A 16,752-nucleotide genomic window follows, 5' to 3' on the forward strand; every position below is an offset into this window, starting at 1 on the left:
CACACCCCTGGGAGGCAGTTCCACTTCTTTGCAGCCTCATTTTCCATGACTTCCCCAACAGGTTGCCTCTTCTGGACATCCTTTCATTCCTTATCCCACTGGAACTGCCCCTCCTCCCATCATAGCTTATCATAGTCACTCATGACCTCCAAGTTGTAAATCCCACTTATCTGTGCCCCTCTTTACTTCTCAGCAGTTTTGAAAGCCCTGCTCTGCCCTGTTCTCAGTTTTTGGGCATGCCCTCACCCTGAGGTTCTTATCAGTCCCAGCCCCACCCTCGGCCCCAGGCTGCCCCTCTCGGCCCCCTTCTCCTCTCATCTGGATGTGGGAGCGCTGGTTCTGACCCCGCCCTTTCCCTTCCTTGTCTCTATTCCTCCCCAGGGGACCTTACCCGGCCCTTCCTCCCTTTCTCCTGGCAGGACCCCACAAGTTGTTTCCCTCCACTGTTTCATACTGACAGAGGAAAGAGACAGAAATGGAGACAGAAAGGCGGGCCTCCAAAGATGTGCAAGCTTGTAGGACCTGATTTTCCTCTCCTCAAACTAAAGGAGACCAGGCTGTCAGGCTCTGAGCCAAAGCTCAGCCATTATAACCTCTGTGACCTGCACATACATACACATCCAGGTGGCCTGCAGGAGCCAAGAAATGGGGAGCAGTCAAAAAACCACAAAGAAGGAAAACAGCCAGTTCCTGGCTTAACTGATTAACCAACATTACAACATTTTACTATTGTGACTTGTCGCTGCCCTACCTTAGCTGGCCAATCGACTTTGTGACATTCTTCTTCTGGACAATGAATCTTATGATCTCTCCACCATGTACGTTGTAACCCCCTCCTCTGCTAACAATAACCACATTTTACTGTAATTTTCCATTACCTACCCAACTCCCTTCCCCATTTCCCTTTGCTGACTCTCTTTTCGGACTCAGCCCACTTGCACCCAAGTGAATAAACAGCTTTATTGCTCACACAAATCCTGTTGGTGGTCTCTTCACACGGACGTGCTTGACACAGGCAAAGGAGAAGGAGGAAGGGAAGGGGGAGCAGCTCTGGAACAAGAGAGGAGGGTTCTGCAGAGGCAGGCGGGAGTTCTTGGGGTGAAGCATTTATTCATGGGAGGAGAGGCTCACAGGATATGACCTCAGTAAGCATCCAGTCCTTGTCACATAGTCTTAGGCACGGCCTACTGCCTGACAATCCCAGACACATTGGAACAGAGGGGCAGGGCCCTGGGAAGGGGCTTGAAGGGAAACTTCCCTACCTCCCTTTCCTGCACACCTGGCCCTGGCTGGAATAGAAAAGCATCATTTGGGAATAGAGAGCAGCTGTGGATCCATCACGGCTATCCCGCACACCATCAACACCACTGACACCTTCACCAACATTTCTAATTCTGCCTTAACCTCTCCACTGGGCTGCAGACTTACATCCAGTTGTCTCTAGGACATGTTCACTGACTTGTCCAACAGACACTGGCACTCACCAGCCTCAGGGGAAAGGCACTACCTTCCACCCACAGTCCAACCCCCAGATCAGGGAATCGCAATTCCTCCTTTCTCTACATCCTCCACCTGCAGGTCTTCAGGGTGCGACTCTGGGCAGGTCGTACTCTCCCTCCACTTAGGATTTCTCATCTGGAGAATGGGATAATGCCAGCCCCAGCTTCCAGACTGTTGTAAGGATTCAATAGGACGGATCATGTAATGCCCTTAGCCCAGGGGTTTGTGCAGGCAGCAGTCAATATGTCTTCATCATTGTTCTTGTTGGCTGGGCCAAGAGACCCTGCTTGATAGGAGAATCAAGTTCTGCAGTGAAGTTGGTGGTCTGGAAGCCGGACTCTAGCAAGGGGTATTTTGGCCTGGGTGTAGGCAGTCCCCACTCTCCACTTATTAGTCGCTCTCTGGCCTGTGGTCAGAAGCCTCCAAGGGACTGTCCCATGTGCAGTGTTGTCAGCAGTGGCCATGCAAATGGTGCCCGTGGGGCTGGCAGCACTACCCTGTCCCCAGCTGCCCGCAGTTGGTGACCTCTTCTTCCTAACACTTTGCTTTTGGTTTACCTCCTCAGCATGGGCCTGCATTTCCACTGCGTAATAGAACTAAGCTGTGGGAGCCAGTGTGGGCGGCAAGGGGACTTGGTGGCATTTGAGAAGCATTGGACAGCAGACACTCCTTGGTCAGCCCTCCCCTCTGAAAAGCAGAACTCTGTGCTGCAGCCCAGACACTGGAGAGCACCAGCCTGTCTCCTCCACCCTCCAGCGAGATGCGGGAGAAATATTCTCTCTCATTCTTTCTCCTGAGTTGTGCCTACTTCCATTTTAAATTCCGCCAAATGATCCCTTAATCTAATAGCAATTGCTAACAGCCTGGCCCTGAGAAGTCCTCTCTGCATTTCAATTCCTGCATTATCCCCTTCTTGCTGGCTTAGTAGAGCCTCTATTCCTTGATGCTTTCTAAGGCAACTAATCACTCAAACGAGGCAGAATAAACCCATTTAGACCAAACATGAATTATTTGCAAGCCAAACCCAGCACTGATGTTGGTCTAAGGTATTTGGAGCGTTATTTACATTTGTAAGTGCAGGCATTTTGATGCTAAACCTCAGGTTAAGCTCTGGGAAGCCTGACTGGCCCTGCTAGCAGCATTCTACTGCCAGGAGCCCTGCGGCTGGGGCAGTCTAGCTGGGACCCTCTGCCTGTCTGTGGACAGTGGGTGCTCTGGGTCTGCGTGTTCCCCAAGGTGAGGCTGGCTCTCTTTGCTCTCGGTAATCCCACCATCCTGCAGGGACCCAGAGCACTCGGCCCTCAGAAAATGGGGCTGTCAGTGGGAGGGCGAATTTATCTTCTAGCTAGGGAAGCAAGAAGGATGCTGCTTTTCCTAAGGCTGTTTCAGGTGCCAGAAGAGGCCCACTCAAGATGCCTCAGGAGGGCTTTCAGCCTGTGGAATCTGCGGTTTTGAGAACCTGGGGCCTGGAGCAAAAGAATAGCAGGGCCCCTAGGCTGGGCCTGGGTGAGGAACAGTGCAGTACTGAGCCCACTTGTTTGGACCGAATGCCTGTTCCCCCCAGATGCTTAGGCTGAAGCCCCAGCCCCCAATATAACTGCATTAGGAGGTGTGGCCTTTGGGAGGTAACTGGGTTTAGATGAGGTCATGAGGGTGGGGCCTTCAGAATAGAATTAGTGCCCCTACAAGAAGAGACCAGGGAGCTTGCTCTCATTCTCTACCATGTAAGAAGGTGGCTACCTGCAGGCCAGGGAGAGGGCCTCCCAGAACTGGACCCTGCTGGCACCTGAGATCAGGCCTCCAGCCCCAGGAGTAGGAGAAATAAATCTCTGTTGTTGAAGCCACCCAGCCTGTGGCGTTTCGTTATGTCAGCCCTTGACTAATCCATATTCATTCTCATTCTCTCTCCCCTCTCTGTATGGGGTTTCTGCTCCTCTTTGCTGCTCGGCCTGCTCCCTTCTCCTCCTCTCTCCTCCTCCTCACTCACCTCTGCCTCCACACTCTGTCAAGAGAATGGCTCAAGAGAGCCGGCCTCAGTACTCCCTGGGGAAAGACCTGCTTCGCCCCCAGCTAGCAGGGGACTTTCTTCTAGGTCTCTCGGATTAAATCCTGAGAGGTGAGTCTGCTTATCTAGGCCGCCCCCTCCGCGGGCGCACCGATGCCTGGCACTGCCCGCCGGGGCGTGGGCGCGCCCACACCGTCCACCCTGCTCCTGCCCAGAGCGGGTCCTCTGCCGAAGGAATTTGCGCTGGCAGCTCCCGGAGGGTCTGGCCCGCACGCGGCAGGGCAATAAAGCCTGCAAACGTGTGGGAGCGGGGGTGATGGGGGTCCAGAGGACGGGGCTTTGCAGGGACGTGGAGGGACTACAGGCAGCTGCGACCGTCTGCCCTGCCATCGCTACCTGTGTATACGCACTCGCACTCCATGTAACCTTCACAGCCACCAGCAGGCCGCGGCCGGGCCGCCCTGCAGAGGAAGGAGCGGGTCCCAGTGCCCAGGGGCTTCCCGCGGTGGGGGGTTGGGCGGGGCGGGGGCTCCACTCTGGGGGCGTGGCTGACAGAAGGCCCCGCCCCCTCCCCGCCCGCGGGTGAAACCACCCCCGAGGCCCGGACGCACGCGGACCTGCGCTCAGGTTTCCCTGGGCTCTGTTGCCGTTCACTGTCCCGGGGAGCGCCCAGGTGAGCGATCCTCGCCGCGGAGCTCCCGGACCCAGCAGCCTGGGAGGCTGGGGTCCGCCTTCTTCCCAGGCCCGCTCGCCTCGGGTGCTGGCTGGAGGGCTGTGGCGCGGGATGGTAGGACTAGCGCTGAGCAGGTGGGATTAAGCTCTCCAATGAAACATGGCCCCACCACACTTTGGTTTGGAGGCAAACACCCAGTAGCGTTACAGACTGAAACACCATCAGCAGCAACACCTTGGCGTGACGTTATCAGATCTTTTCCCCCTAGACTGAGAATTGTACTAGAGAACAGACTTTTGGCCAGGTTTGAAGATTCTCTTGCAATGCGCCATCGCCCCTGACAGTCTTCAGCATAGAAAAATACATGACAACCGTGGCCATGGGTACTAGGCTTCGCTGCGCCCACCCTGGAGCCTGCCACCAGGGTTCCCACGACGGCTTCACTTCGTCCTGGCTGCGTGAGCAAGGCCCTTAATCTTCTGACACCGCAGTTCCTCGTCTGTGAAGTGGGTGTAATATCACCTGCCTCTAGAGGCATGCGAGGGAGCAGCAGTGCCTTGAAAGCATCAATGGCTCAGTTAGAAAAACACCGCCATAATAACTAGTGTCTACAAGCCAATCTGCACACGATGTAGCTCTGTTACACGATCTCCTTTGAGTCACAAATAGCTTGGAAGTTGTTATGACTCCCATTTTACAGATGGAGAAACAGGCTCAGAGAGATTAAGAGCCTGGGCTTTTAAGCGGTGAGATAGGAGTCAAGCCCCGGCTGTTTGATTCCAAATCTGCGGAGTCCTGAAAGACCTCAGGCTTCCGGGGCAGCTGGATTTAGGGTTGAGGGCTGGTGGCCTCTTCGAGCTGCAGTTTCCTCACATGTAAAATGGGGATGATGCTATGGGTCTGCAGAGGTGCAGGCAGCAGATGTCTGTAATGGAGGTCATTACCATTATTCCACACCCGCATCCGTTCAGCAGGCACAAGTGGACTTCGCTGCTTTTGCTTGTTGATGTCTGGGCTTAGCCTGTCTGTCTACAAAACGATAGCAGAGACCTTGAAGGCTGGGAGTGCGTCAACAAAAGACAAAGCACAGCCCACAGCCTATTATCTCAGCTTCAGATATCGACATTGGCAGACTTTTCTGTGCATGTGGAGGGGAAGCATTGAAACTCTTGCCAAGAGCCAAAACTGATTTGCCCACATGCAGTCCAGCTCTCTGATCTGTCCTTGGAGACAAAATAAGGAAACTACCTCTTTGATCCAAAGCTATTTTTATCGTCCTCTGAGCAGTGCTTATGGTGCGTTATGTGTTTCATGGGGAAAAAGGACTATCAGCAGGCCAAGATAACCATTACCCCGGCCCAGCCCTATAAATAGGCACTGTTTGTTTTCTCTGACAGCGCCAGAGGGGCCAGGTTTGGGTCACCTGCCGATAGCGGGTGAGAAATGGTGTCCCCATCCCTGGGCCCATTGGTGCTGACCAGATGGTGAAGGAGGCAAAGGTTGCTTTGAATGACTGTGCTCTGGGGTGAGCCAGGCCTGGTGGGTGCCCACTCTGCTCCATGGGCTCTGCTCCCTGGCCTCCCATTCCTGCTCGCCCTCCAGCTTTTTGTGTCTGTGTCGCCCACTCCTCCCACCATCAGTCTCCATCTGGATGCAGGCTTCTGGGCTTCCGTTCACGCAGAGTTTTGGGCAGCAGCTCCCCCAGCAGCCCTGCCTGCCACCTCTTCTGGGGAAGAGGGTTCAGATGGAAGGGGCCTGGAGGATGAGGATAAGCCACGAGGGAGAGGGAGGGGCTGATGGCTTAGGGAGGACTTCTACAGGGTGAGTACCCATTGTTCAAAATGCTTGGGACTAGAAGTGTTTCAGATTTCAGATTTTTTTCAGATTTTGGAATATTTGCATGTGCATAATGAGATATCTTGAGGATGGAACCCAGTCTAAGCACAAAATTTATTTATTTATTTTTTTGAGACGGAGTTTCGCTCTTGTTGCCCAGGCTGGAGTGCAATGGCACGATCTCGGCTCACTGAAACCTCCACCTCCCAGGTTCAAGCAATTCTCTTGCCTCAGCCTCCTGAGTAGCTGGGATTACAAGCATGCACCACCATGCCCAGCTCATTTTGTATTTTTAATAGAGACAGGGTTTCTCCACGTTGGTCAGGCTGGTCTTGAACTCCCAACCTCAGGTGATCCACCTGCCTTGGCCTCCCAAAGTGCTGGGATTACAGGCATGAGCCACCACGCCCGGCCTATTTATGTTTTATGTACACTTTATACACATAGACGGAAGGTAATTTTATATGATATTTTAAATAATTTTGTGCATAAAACAAAGTTTGTGTTAAGTACTTATATGTAGAATTTACCACTTGTGGCATCATGCTGCTGCTTAAAAACTTTCAGATTTTGGATTCTGAATTTTTGTATTAGGAATGTTCACTCTGTAGTAAGAACCCGAAGGTGAAAATCAGTGTCACAGGATAATGTTTAGGATATGATGCAAGCTTTTGCACCATTCCCCCAGAAGTGTGGCTGCTTTCCAGGTGCCCTGCCTCCAGTGCATAGAGGCAGAGGTGGCCTGGGACCAAGTGTGATGGTTAACGTTATGTGTCAGCTTGGCAGGGCCATAGGATGCCTGGACATCTGATCAGACATCATTCTGGGTGGGCTTGCCAGGGTGATTCCCGATGAGATTAGCGTTGGCATCAGTGCACTGAGTAAAGCAGATTTCCCTTCCAAATGGGGGTGGGCCTCATCTAATCAGTAGAAGACCTGAATGGAAGAGAGAGGCTGAGTAAAGGGGAGCTCCTCCTCTCTGACTGCCTTGAGCTGGCACATTGCTGCTTTCCTGCCTTTGGACTCAGATTGAGGTGTCAGTTCTTTCTGGGTCTTGAGCCTGATGGCATTTGAACTGGAACTGCAAGACTGGCTCTTCTGCATCTTCAGCTTGCCACTGGCAGAGCTCCATAATCACATTCCTTATAATCTCTCTCTCTTATACATATATGTCCTCATATATATATCCTATTGGTTCTTTTTCTCTGGTGAACCCTAGCTAATATATCAAGTATTACAGTTTGACTTTGATTCCAAAATATGCTCCTAAAATACCTAGCAGAGATATAGTCTTGAAAGCCTAGGTTTTTAATGGAGAGAGCCAGCCTTTTTGAAAGAGAAGGACTCAGCAGATAAGATTTGTAACATAGAGACAAATTGAGAAGCTTGCATGGTGCTGTAACAGCCACTTCCCCATCCTGAGGGGTCATGTTTCGGTGGGGGAAGATGGCCAGATGGATGTGGATAGAGCCTGGATAGGGGGGTCCTTGAGAAGGGCTGATGCCATGCCCCCTCCACTGTCTGGGCTTGGAGGGGTGTTGAGAGGATGCAGTGGAGTTGGGGGGATCAGTGGCTGAGCAAACAAGCGCTTGATCCTCCTTGAGGAGAAGGGGGGCAGCATCCTGAATTGAATGAATATTTACCCAGTTGTTCAAATCAAATTTGCATATGCCACAATGTTTTTCTAGGGTCAAGAGAGTTGCCCCTGCAAATGTTGACTTTTGCAGTTCTTAAATAAAAATCAATTAGCTTATAAGAGTTTGCTTAAATCCTTCCCCCTCCCCATCTTCTACCCCACCTTATGCCAGTGGGTCTATACCACACCATGGCCTGCCACCTTTTTTGTTTTTTGAAGCAAATCCATCCAGATCCTAAATGCCACCCTTTTCAAATGCATAATAGTGTATCTGTTAGGCTGCTTTTGATCACAAGCAACAGCAAAATCAATTGCACTAGTTGAATCAACAGAGAGGCTTCTTTGACTGACTCAAGTGAAAAGCCCAGACTGGGGTGGGCTTCTGGTGAGGCTTGCTCCCAAGGTCTGGTGCTATCACAAGGCCCATGCTCCATGCTGCCTCCCACAATGTCAGATTCATCCTAGGCCTGCTTCTTATCGGGTACCAAGATGGCAGACTGCAGTTTCGTGGGTACACATCTTCTCTCATGCCCAGCCAGAAGGAGCCTTGGTTTTGGTGCTCACGGTCAGTAGTCACCGTCTTGAGAAGCAGAGGCCACAGCCACTTCCACCCCAGTTACTGGGTCTGTCACAGGGTGCGAGGGTGTGGACTGGCTCAGGCTGGGACATGGGCTCCATGCCTGGGGCCTGAAGAGGAGCCACTTCTCTGAGACTCTATGGATGGCCAGGTGGCAAGCAGAGCTGTCCAGAAGGGAAAGGAAGGGAGTATCTAGATGCTGGGGAGGCACCAACAAGCATCCTCCACACATGGGATCTGGCATGTTCACATTTTATTAAAATTCATTTCTGCCACCTCCTCCCACATTTTTTCTGCTAATTGGTGAGGAATCCTTCATCTGAGCAGACATTGGTAAATTCTCATAGCCAAGTGGGGGTTGAGTAAAGTTCATTGTTTACCTGAGGTCAGGGGCCAGCACCCACATTGGTCCAGTCTTGCCTTGCAATGCTGGGAGGCTGCAGTCCTGTCCAGTGCATCCGGTGACTCCTGCTTGGTGAGGTCCCACGTACCCTGCTGCGAGGGAAGCAAGCAGAAGCCAGTCTCAGGCTGTGCTGCCAATTCACGTCAACACTATAGAGGCTGCTCCCCGTAAGGTGCTGTGGGGGTTTTGGTGACAGATGCAAATTCAAAGGGGAAAGGAGAAGAGGGGAGCAAAGTGACACCAAAGAGGCTGTCAGCCAGGGTCCCAAGCATGGGGTGCAGGGGGAGGAGTGAGGGCATGCAGGCTGCGGAGGGACCCCTATTCGCCCTCCACAGTCCCGATGAGAACTTGATCACCTGCCCTCAATTCCCCATCCAACTGAGCATCACTGGAGGTGGCCACCCTCCTGAGGGGTGACTCCTGGCCTGGCCTGCTGGAGAAACAAGAGGTTCCTCTCAATCAAGTGTAGGGCTCTGACGTTGACAAAAGATTATGGTAGTAATGCTGCTTTGGACTAAAAGTGACAGGAAAATGTTTTATTTTATGAAGAAGTCCAGGGGACCTGTAGGACCCGCTTGAGATTTCATCCAGGGAGCAGGGCCTGGGGAGGAGCAGCCTGAGGCTTGGTTCATGGGGGCAGTGGGAAAAAAGAATGAAGGTGCAGCTGCTGTCCCCGTGGAGTCCTGGAGTCATTCTTTCCCAGCTCTGCAAGTGTCCTAAAGCAAGAAGCTAGGCCACACACGAGGACGCCCTGAGGAATGCATCAGTCCACATCCTGCTTCTGGGCTGTGTGGGAGGTTGAGGCCCTCAGTGCAGAAGGCTCTTCTGTGGGGGTCATTGTGTGCTGTGCCCACCCCACTCCCAGAAAGGGGAGGCGAGGGTGCCTTGCCCTCCCCTGAGCAAGTGAGAGCAGGCTTCAAGAGAGGCTCTTGGGTGGAGGCACTGGGTTTTGGAGGACAAAGAGATGGGGTGTGATTGTGCTTGGTGTAGGATAGTTATCAGCCGGGATAACTGGGTTACGCTGCAGTAACAAGCACCCCTGACACTCAGTGGCTTGATGCTATGGCATGTCTTTTCCATTCATGCTCCTTGTCCCTCATGGGCAGATGGAGGCTTCTGCTCACATAGTCACTTAGGGACCTGCCATAGGCTTCTCTGTGCTCCCACGATGCAGGAGATAGTGCATTGGCCCTTAAAGCTTTCTCTAAAAGCGACATGGCACATGGCTCCTATGTCCCCATGTCACCATCCAATGCAAATCACTTGGCCATGCCCTTGAAGAGGGGCAGGGGGTAGGCATGGAAGTGGAATGTTACTGTGTGTCTGGAAGGCAGGGATTCAGAAATATCCAGGGACCAGCACTAGTGACCGCTGAGGCACCTAATGGAGGGGGCTGTTATGAAGGGGGCGGGGTCTGCTTGGGAACGAGCTCCCCTCCCACCCACAGTGTGCTTGGGTGAAGGCGGTGTGTCAAGACCAGGCAGGGGTGTCCTGGAAGGACCCTAGGACCTCAGGAGATGGGTGGGCTCCTGAGCCCAGGTGAGATTAGGAGTTGAAAGTGGCCATCCTATGAGGGCATGGCCTGTGCCACAGGCAGGGACATCCCAGCAGGGGCCACCGAGGAGCCTGCCAGGTGCTCACGGGAGTCAGTCAGCTTGCCCAGCTGAGATCATCCACTGACCCTTCTTGTCACCTGATTCCTTAGTTTTGCTCCCCAAGTCCTCTCTCGGGAGCCGTGCATGAGGGAAGTAGACCGTGAAGAGCAGGAGAAGAGGAGAGCAGGAACAGCTGGGAGGCCAGAGGAGGCCTGATGAGATGGACTCTGCACCAAGGTTGGGAGGTGTGTGTGGTTGTGGGGAAAGGTCGGGCACACACCCCTCAGGCAGGGGTCTGTGTTATGGCTGGGGTGGCGGGCACTGCGGGCGGGTCCCGAAGGCTGTGGTTCCGAAGGCCATGCGATTCCTCAAAGGTTTGAGCTGGTGCTGGTGTTGGGCAGCTGAGAGACCATTAGGGGGTCTTGCTAGTGAAGCTGTCCTGGGTGCTAAGAGAACAGGCAGCGGCCCTCTGTGGCAGGAAGAACTCTGTTCGTCTAAGACAGAAACCGTGGTGAGAGTAGGGTCCCTGACTTCCTTCTCCACTGAAGAAGGGCTGGGAGGCCTTGCAGCTGTGCTCTGTCTGTGGGTGGGTGGGGAGCGGAGGTTGGGGCAGTTCTTCTGAGCCAGCTCTGCCTCCGGCCTGGAAGAGGAGCCCAGAAGACCGGGGTGGAGTGAGACCTCAGTCCACACAGGGAAGAGGGTGGGAAGAGGGTGGGAGGGAAGGCCAGTGTCTGGGCTAGCCCTCTCCCCACTGCCTCGCCAGGGAGGGCTGCTATCTGCAGTCTATAGATGAGGAAACTGAGGCCATGGGGATTGTGTGATTTGATGCAGGGTTCAAGCCAAGCCCAGCTGGCCGTCTCCTTACAAAAGCCTGATGAAAAAAAGCTGCAGTTGCAGAATGTTGCAGAGGGTCCCTGGCCATTCAGAAAAAATTTAAAATATGCAAAGCAGTGCTTAGCATTGCTTAGGGATGCAACCGCACAGGCTCGAAGTGGGACGGTGAATTCCAGCTTGGGAGAGTGGCTACCTTAATGGGGTGGGGGTGGGAATGGGGAGGGTTCATCTGATCCTGCATGTGGTGGTTTTTTTTTTTTTCTTTTTTTCTGAGATGGAGTCTTGCTCTGTTGTCCAGGCTGGAGTGCAGTGGCACAGTCTTGGCTCATTGCAATCTCCGCTTCCCGAGTTCGAGTGATTCTCTTGCCTCAGACTCCCGAGTAGCTGAGGTTACAGGTGTGCACCACCATATCCAGCTAATTGTTTTTTTGTATTTTTAGTAGAGACGGGATTCCACCATGTTGGTCAGGCTGGTCTTGAACTCCTGACCTCAAATGATCCTCCCGCCTTGGCCTCCCAAAGTGCTGGGATTACAGTCATGAGCCACTGTGCCCATCCCCACCTGTGGTGTTTCATGCTTTGATCTGGGTGCTGCATGCACAGGTGTTGTGGAACTAGTTTTCATGCCTTTTCGTATGTCTGAACGGTTTCTGAGTAAGCCAAGAGAGGCTGACTGCAGCCCCTGGAGTGGGTGAGGAGGCTCAGCGGCTGCTCCTGGAGTCAGCAGCCCTCCCTGTGACCCCACCTCTTCAGCAGCCCGACTAGAGACCAAGAAACGAAAAGGAGAAAGGGGCCCAAGGAGGCCCCGGCTGTGTGAAGAAGGCCTCCTGGGGCTGCCCTTATCTTCCTCCCCTGGTTCAGGGGTGGAAGCTTCTCCAGGGGAAGGAGAGGCAAAGCGCACAGCTGGCACACGCCACCTTGTGCAGGTTGCTCCTGGGCCATGAGGCAGCTGACCCTGCCCCTCGGCAGCCTCTCCTTCCTTCTCAGCAGCACAGGAGAGAGGAGAGCCAGCAAAGCCCAGCTGTGAGGGCTCCCCTTCCCTCTGCATTCCCCAGTGACTCTATCTGCCCAGCTGGCCCCGTGCCCCAGTGTACCAGCTCTGCACCTTTGGTAGCATCTCTGGGAGCCTCACAAGAGTCAGAGAGGACGCAGCTCCTGGTTGGAGCCAATTGCCACATTTTTTGAAACGTTGCAAGCTGGTTCTTCAACTCTTGGAAGCTTGAAGTGGATCATGATGGGGTATTTATACCATGGCTATTGGCTAATGCTCTGCATCAGGGCTGCCCCCTTCACTCTGCAGGCTGCTAAACATTTACCAACACAACACTGTCATGGCCCCACTGTGAGCCTTCCTGAACTCGCCCATGTGTGCTTCTGGTCCCTGTTCACCTGCACCCTCAGGTGTCCTGGTGGCCCCTGAGACCCATCAGTCTCCCACTCCCCAGTGACTGCTGCAGTCTGTGCTACACAGGCTCACTCTTCTCCCCCGACTGGCTGTTGCTCTAAGCACATGCTGGGTACTGCCTGGTGGAAGAAGTGTGGGCCTCTGAGTCTCACAGGCCGGCTTTTATTTCTGGCTGTGCCCTGTGCCAATCTGGACAAGTGACGGCCTCTGGGACTTCATTTCTCCCTGCTTATGTGGTGTTAATACTGCCTGCTCATAACCTCCATTGCCAGTGAAGGAAATAATGTATATAGTGGTCCATTTCCAAGACAAAGTGCCTTAAATCGGCTTAGGTCAGCAAACTACAGAAGAAATAGGATATACTAGGCCCCTGCTTGGATAGCCAATGCCTGCTTGTCGGCCCCCCTTAGTTGCCTTCACTCGAACCAAAGAAGTTTAGTCTAAGATGAAAGTTTGCTAGCCTGCAAAATAGCTTGTTTTGTCTGTTCTTATCAGCTGGCCCAGCTACTGAAGTCATAAGTCAAATACTTGAAGAGCCCCAGAGCTAACTAGGATTGCAATGTATTGTGGGCTGCAACAAAATGCAGCAGGACGACCCTAAAGAAAACACCTAGAGCCTCTACCCAACAACCGATAGGCGATGTCCGGGAAGATTGTGACCCCATAGTACTCAGCCTATGAGGAACTGGCGGAGAGACCTGAGCATTAGGGGATAAATTGCTTGTTGAAACTGTGCTGGGGGTGTCTGCTCATCAGACACCCCACCTTGCAAGACAGTCATTAAAAGTCTCACTTTCACTGCTCTCCGGGTCTCTGAGTCTATTCTTTGGGTTTGGATGGGTGAGTTTATTTCTCACACCAGGGCTGAGCACGTGGCTCTAGGCACAGAGCAGGCATTCCCTCAACGACAGCCTCCAGCATTTGAGCCCCTGTGGCTAGAATGGGGACTTCTAGCAGAGTTACTGAGATATCTTTCCCTTTCCTTGCTCTGTTCAACACCACTGCTCTGCAGTTGGGCCTGTGGAGTACAAGGAGAATTCCCTGCAAGACCCCTGGGTGAAAGAGACACCTCCAGTGTCATCGCGGCCTGAGGGGTGCAGTGATGGGGCAAGTGTGTCCCCAGGGGTCCCAGCACCACCCCAAATAGACTTCATTGGTTTAGTGCAAGAACGTGAGCTCTGAAGTTGGAAGTGCTGCAACGATGTTGGGCATCTGGGCGTGGAGGCTCCAGTTGAGCACAGCGAGTGTGCTGCACGGGGGCCTCCCTTGCATGTGGAGGACAGACACTGAGCTCCCACTCTCACCTGTCCAGTCTGCTCGGGGTCGGCCTTGGGGCTGAACACCCAGCAGGGACCTCACATTGGCCACTTCGCTGAGTGACTGTCTTCAGAACTCCAGAGCCCACTCTCTGATTAAGCACATGGGTTTTCCAAACTTATCCACACACATGATTTATCTACCTTTGCGTGATTTACATGCATGATTTCACTTCGGTATTTCCCGCTTTACAAGAGTGGCACCTGAAGCACAGCGAGGTGAAGTGACTTGCCCACATTCACAAGTAGCAGAACCAGAATTTGAACCCAGGAGGGGGTCTCACCCTGGAACCCACGCTCACCACACGACACCTGTGGTCCCCAACAGCCTGCAAAGCTGTGACCCGAGGTGACCTTGCTCACAAACACAGCTGGAGCCGCCAGCTCCTTGGCGTACTGGAGATTAGGTTTAAGACTAAACTCCCAGAAAGCGGGGCGGATACCAGGCCCATGGCAATGGTGCTCCCTGTGCAACACCCTGCCATTCTGATGGATGAAAAACATTTCAAGTTTTCCTGTAAAAATGTCTGTTGTGGAAAGATAAGGAAATTCTGGCACACTCAGAGGGGACTTCTTAACTAGTTCGTGCAAAAAGGCACGTTTATTTTTGGCTTTGGGGCTGGGTACAGCGTGGCCTTAATCAGCAGCTAAGGTGATGTTGGCCAGGCCACTGCCAGCCCAGGCCCAAAAAACAGTGTAGGCCAGGCCAGTGCCAGTGTCTGCCAAGGGGATAGGCACGGGGACCCTTGTCTGACCTCTGGGGGCTATGTGCAAGGGCCGTGGGAGCAGTTGGGCAGCCTTGGAGACAACCCAAATGTGGGAATCCGCAGGCCTGGGGCCCTCCCAGCAGTCAGAGGGAATGCGTGCCTGCCTCTGAGGGTGGTTGGGAGATGGAGTGTGACATTGTGTCCTGAGTCCGGAGGCTCTCCCAGCAGTGAGAAGGGATGCATGCCTGCCTCCGAGGGTGGTTGGGAGACAAAGCGTGACTCCATGTCCAGAGTCCTGGGGCCTGGTGGAGCCGTGCCTGTTCTGTGACCTCAGGCAGTCCCTCAGTTGTCTGCACCACCGCTCCTTCATGGGGAATCCTCATTAGAGCTCTGCCCAGGTGCCCTAGCCTGGTGGCGGGGGTGGTCAAGGCCACCGTTTCCCCACAGAAAGTGTCTTGGGTGCCACCTGGTTGGAAGGGGAAGTTCTATGGGCAGCTTGTGCTCAGCAAGCCTGACGCTCTCAGTGTGTGTGGGGGGGGCGGGGAGGGTGAGGACAGGTGTCAGCGGCTCCCAGCCGGGGCCTTCAGGCTGGCTCAGCAGTGCTGCTCCTCTCCCAGCCAACCTTGCTTCCACTGCCCCCAGGATGCCTCCTCTCAAGCTCCCCTAGGACAGGCCACACCTGTTTCTGCCTCCTTCTTTGTCACAGGAATCATTAGCGGTGTGCCTTGCTCCTCACCCCAGACTAGGAGCCCCAAGGTTGGCTGATGGTGGTCATCTTAGGGTGTCCAGGGCAGTGCAGGGCTGGATGGCAGGTGCTCAGTGGGCACAGGAGAAAATGCAGCGGGACTGGCTCTCCTGGCCAGTGTGAATGGACAGGCTGTTGATTCTGTTGGAAGATGGCTGTTCTTGGTATTTGGAGATTTGCCATGTGGCTCTGAATGATCTCCCACCTTCTTCTAGCCTGACGTTGCAGGTTCTCTAACCCTCAAGGGCTATGGGCTCAGATTTCTTTAGCATTTGGCTTTCCTTGGGGACCCCTTATCCCCTCCTCCCACCTCTGAGCCTGTCTTGTCAGGGGGCCTCTGAGCCTTCGCCACAGCCTACAAAGCATCTTTGCTCTACTGCCAGAAATGGGAAGCCCAGAATCTTCTCTCCTCATGCCTGCTATGCCTCTTGGCATCCTGGCTGGGCCTGGCCCTGCAAACTGTGCAGGAGGCTGTTTGCCTGTGTGCACCCCCTCCTGAGACCTTCCCCCTCCAGTCACCCCCCTGGGACCAGAGCCTTCAGGAGGTAGGAGGCGTGGGCAATTTGGAGCATCCCCACTCTGGCGGTGGGCTGTGTAGACAGAATACGGTTGTGTCTCAGCTTGGATGCTGAACAGCTGGGTGACCGAGCCTGTCACTTCACCTCTCTGGGGATCTGTGCTCGTCTGTGACAGGTGGTGACAGGTGGGAGGCAGGATGGTTGTCAGGTTCAGCAAAGGACCTCATGGTGTGCTCTGAGCACGGTGCTTGCTCATAGCTTGTAGCAGGGATTACCTCCATTCAGACCAACAGCAATACCACTGCCAGGCTCAGATTTTCTGGGAGCTCAGTGGTTTAAGGAACTTCTTTCAAGGTAGTAGTTTCCTTCTGTGTATGTGGGTGGCAGCTGCTTCCTTGGTCTCTCAATAATCCAGCTCAGTTTGAAATGGTGGTGAAAACCTTACGCCTCAGCCCAGGCAGGGGCTCAGCACCTCTCCCAGGGCCAGCACAATCCCACTTTATGATTCTTGGAAATTCCTCTCTGAGAAAAGGCAAAATTAATTGACCCTTGGGATGCCCTTGGCAGTGCTGGATTACATTTCAGCCCATCTGTGCAGGGGCCCAATATTCCAACTGGAAACTACAGCCTATCCTGAATGTGATCTTGACAAATAGGAAAGGGAAGTGGATTCTAGATAGGATTTCCGATTCACACAATTACAGTGAGCCATGGCTTTGGCTCCTGGCTGGGAAGACAATCAATTAGTTGCAGACTAACATGGGAGAGATTACACCCTGCATCTCTGAGCTTGGCCCTGCTGCAACCTGTGCATGGAGAGTGCAATTGCATCATATTTCCAAGACAGTTGTGACAGGGATTCGATTCTACTGTAGAGTGACGGCAAACACCTGCCAACACCCTTTCTCAGCCCCTATGACACTGGCAAGGATGCTGTGTCCTTAGGCCCTGCAATCAGCAGAGGAAGCACCAATAGCCAGGACACCACTCCACATCTTTAAC

The 16,752-nt window shown here is 53.5% G+C and overlaps 1 long non-coding RNA gene across 1 annotated transcript in view, besides 6 other annotated features; it reads left to right on the plus strand.

The window, feature by feature from the left end:
* The window catches only part of LOC105373611 (uncharacterized), a 241,632-nt gene that overhangs the window by 86,824 nt on the left and 138,056 nt on the right, over positions 1-16,752 (plus strand). The gene's annotated exons all lie outside the window — the stretch shown is intronic.
* Positions 2,333-3,134: an enhancer, noted in NCBI's record as "NANOG-H3K27ac-H3K4me1 hESC enhancer chr2:129249333-129250134 (GRCh37/hg19 assembly coordinates)". NCBI's record gives its function as "activates a minimal SCP1, AML or CMV promoter by ChIP-STARR-seq in primed H9 embryonic stem cells {active_cell/tissue: H9 hESC(primed)}" and the evidence as "EXISTENCE:reporter gene assay evidence [ECO:0000049][PMID:30033119]".
* Positions 2,333-3,243: a biological region, named in NCBI's record as "Sharpr-MPRA regulatory region 8571".
* Positions 2,949-3,243: an enhancer, noted in NCBI's record as "tiled region #8571; K562 Activating non-DNase unmatched - State 22:ReprW". NCBI's record gives its function as "activates a minimal TATA promoter and a strong SV40 promoter by Sharpr-MPRA in K562 cells {active_cell/tissue: K562}" and the evidence as "EXISTENCE:reporter gene assay evidence [ECO:0000049][PMID:27701403]".
* Positions 5,175-5,375: a silencer, noted in NCBI's record as "peak3859 fragment used in MPRA reporter construct". NCBI's record gives its function as "represses an SCP1 promoter by STARR-seq MPRAs in K562 erythroleukemia cells {active_cell/tissue: K562}" and the evidence as "EXISTENCE:reporter gene assay evidence [ECO:0000049][PMID:32103011]".
* Positions 11,456-11,956: an enhancer, noted in NCBI's record as "H3K4me1 hESC enhancer chr2:129258456-129258956 (GRCh37/hg19 assembly coordinates)". NCBI's record gives its function as "activates a minimal SCP1, AML or CMV promoter by ChIP-STARR-seq in primed H9 embryonic stem cells {active_cell/tissue: H9 hESC(primed)}" and the evidence as "EXISTENCE:reporter gene assay evidence [ECO:0000049][PMID:30033119]".
* Positions 14,745-14,804: an enhancer, noted in NCBI's record as "active region_16513". NCBI's record gives its function as "activates an Ori minimal core promoter by ATAC-STARR-seq in GM12878 lymphoblastoid cells {active_cell/tissue: GM12878}" and the evidence as "EXISTENCE:reporter gene assay evidence [ECO:0000049][PMID:35858748]".

This window comes from Homo sapiens, chromosome 2 (genome assembly GCF_000001405.40).
Source record: "Homo sapiens chromosome 2, GRCh38.p14 Primary Assembly".
NCBI classification, from domain to species: domain Eukaryota; kingdom Metazoa; phylum Chordata; class Mammalia; order Primates; family Hominidae; genus Homo; species Homo sapiens.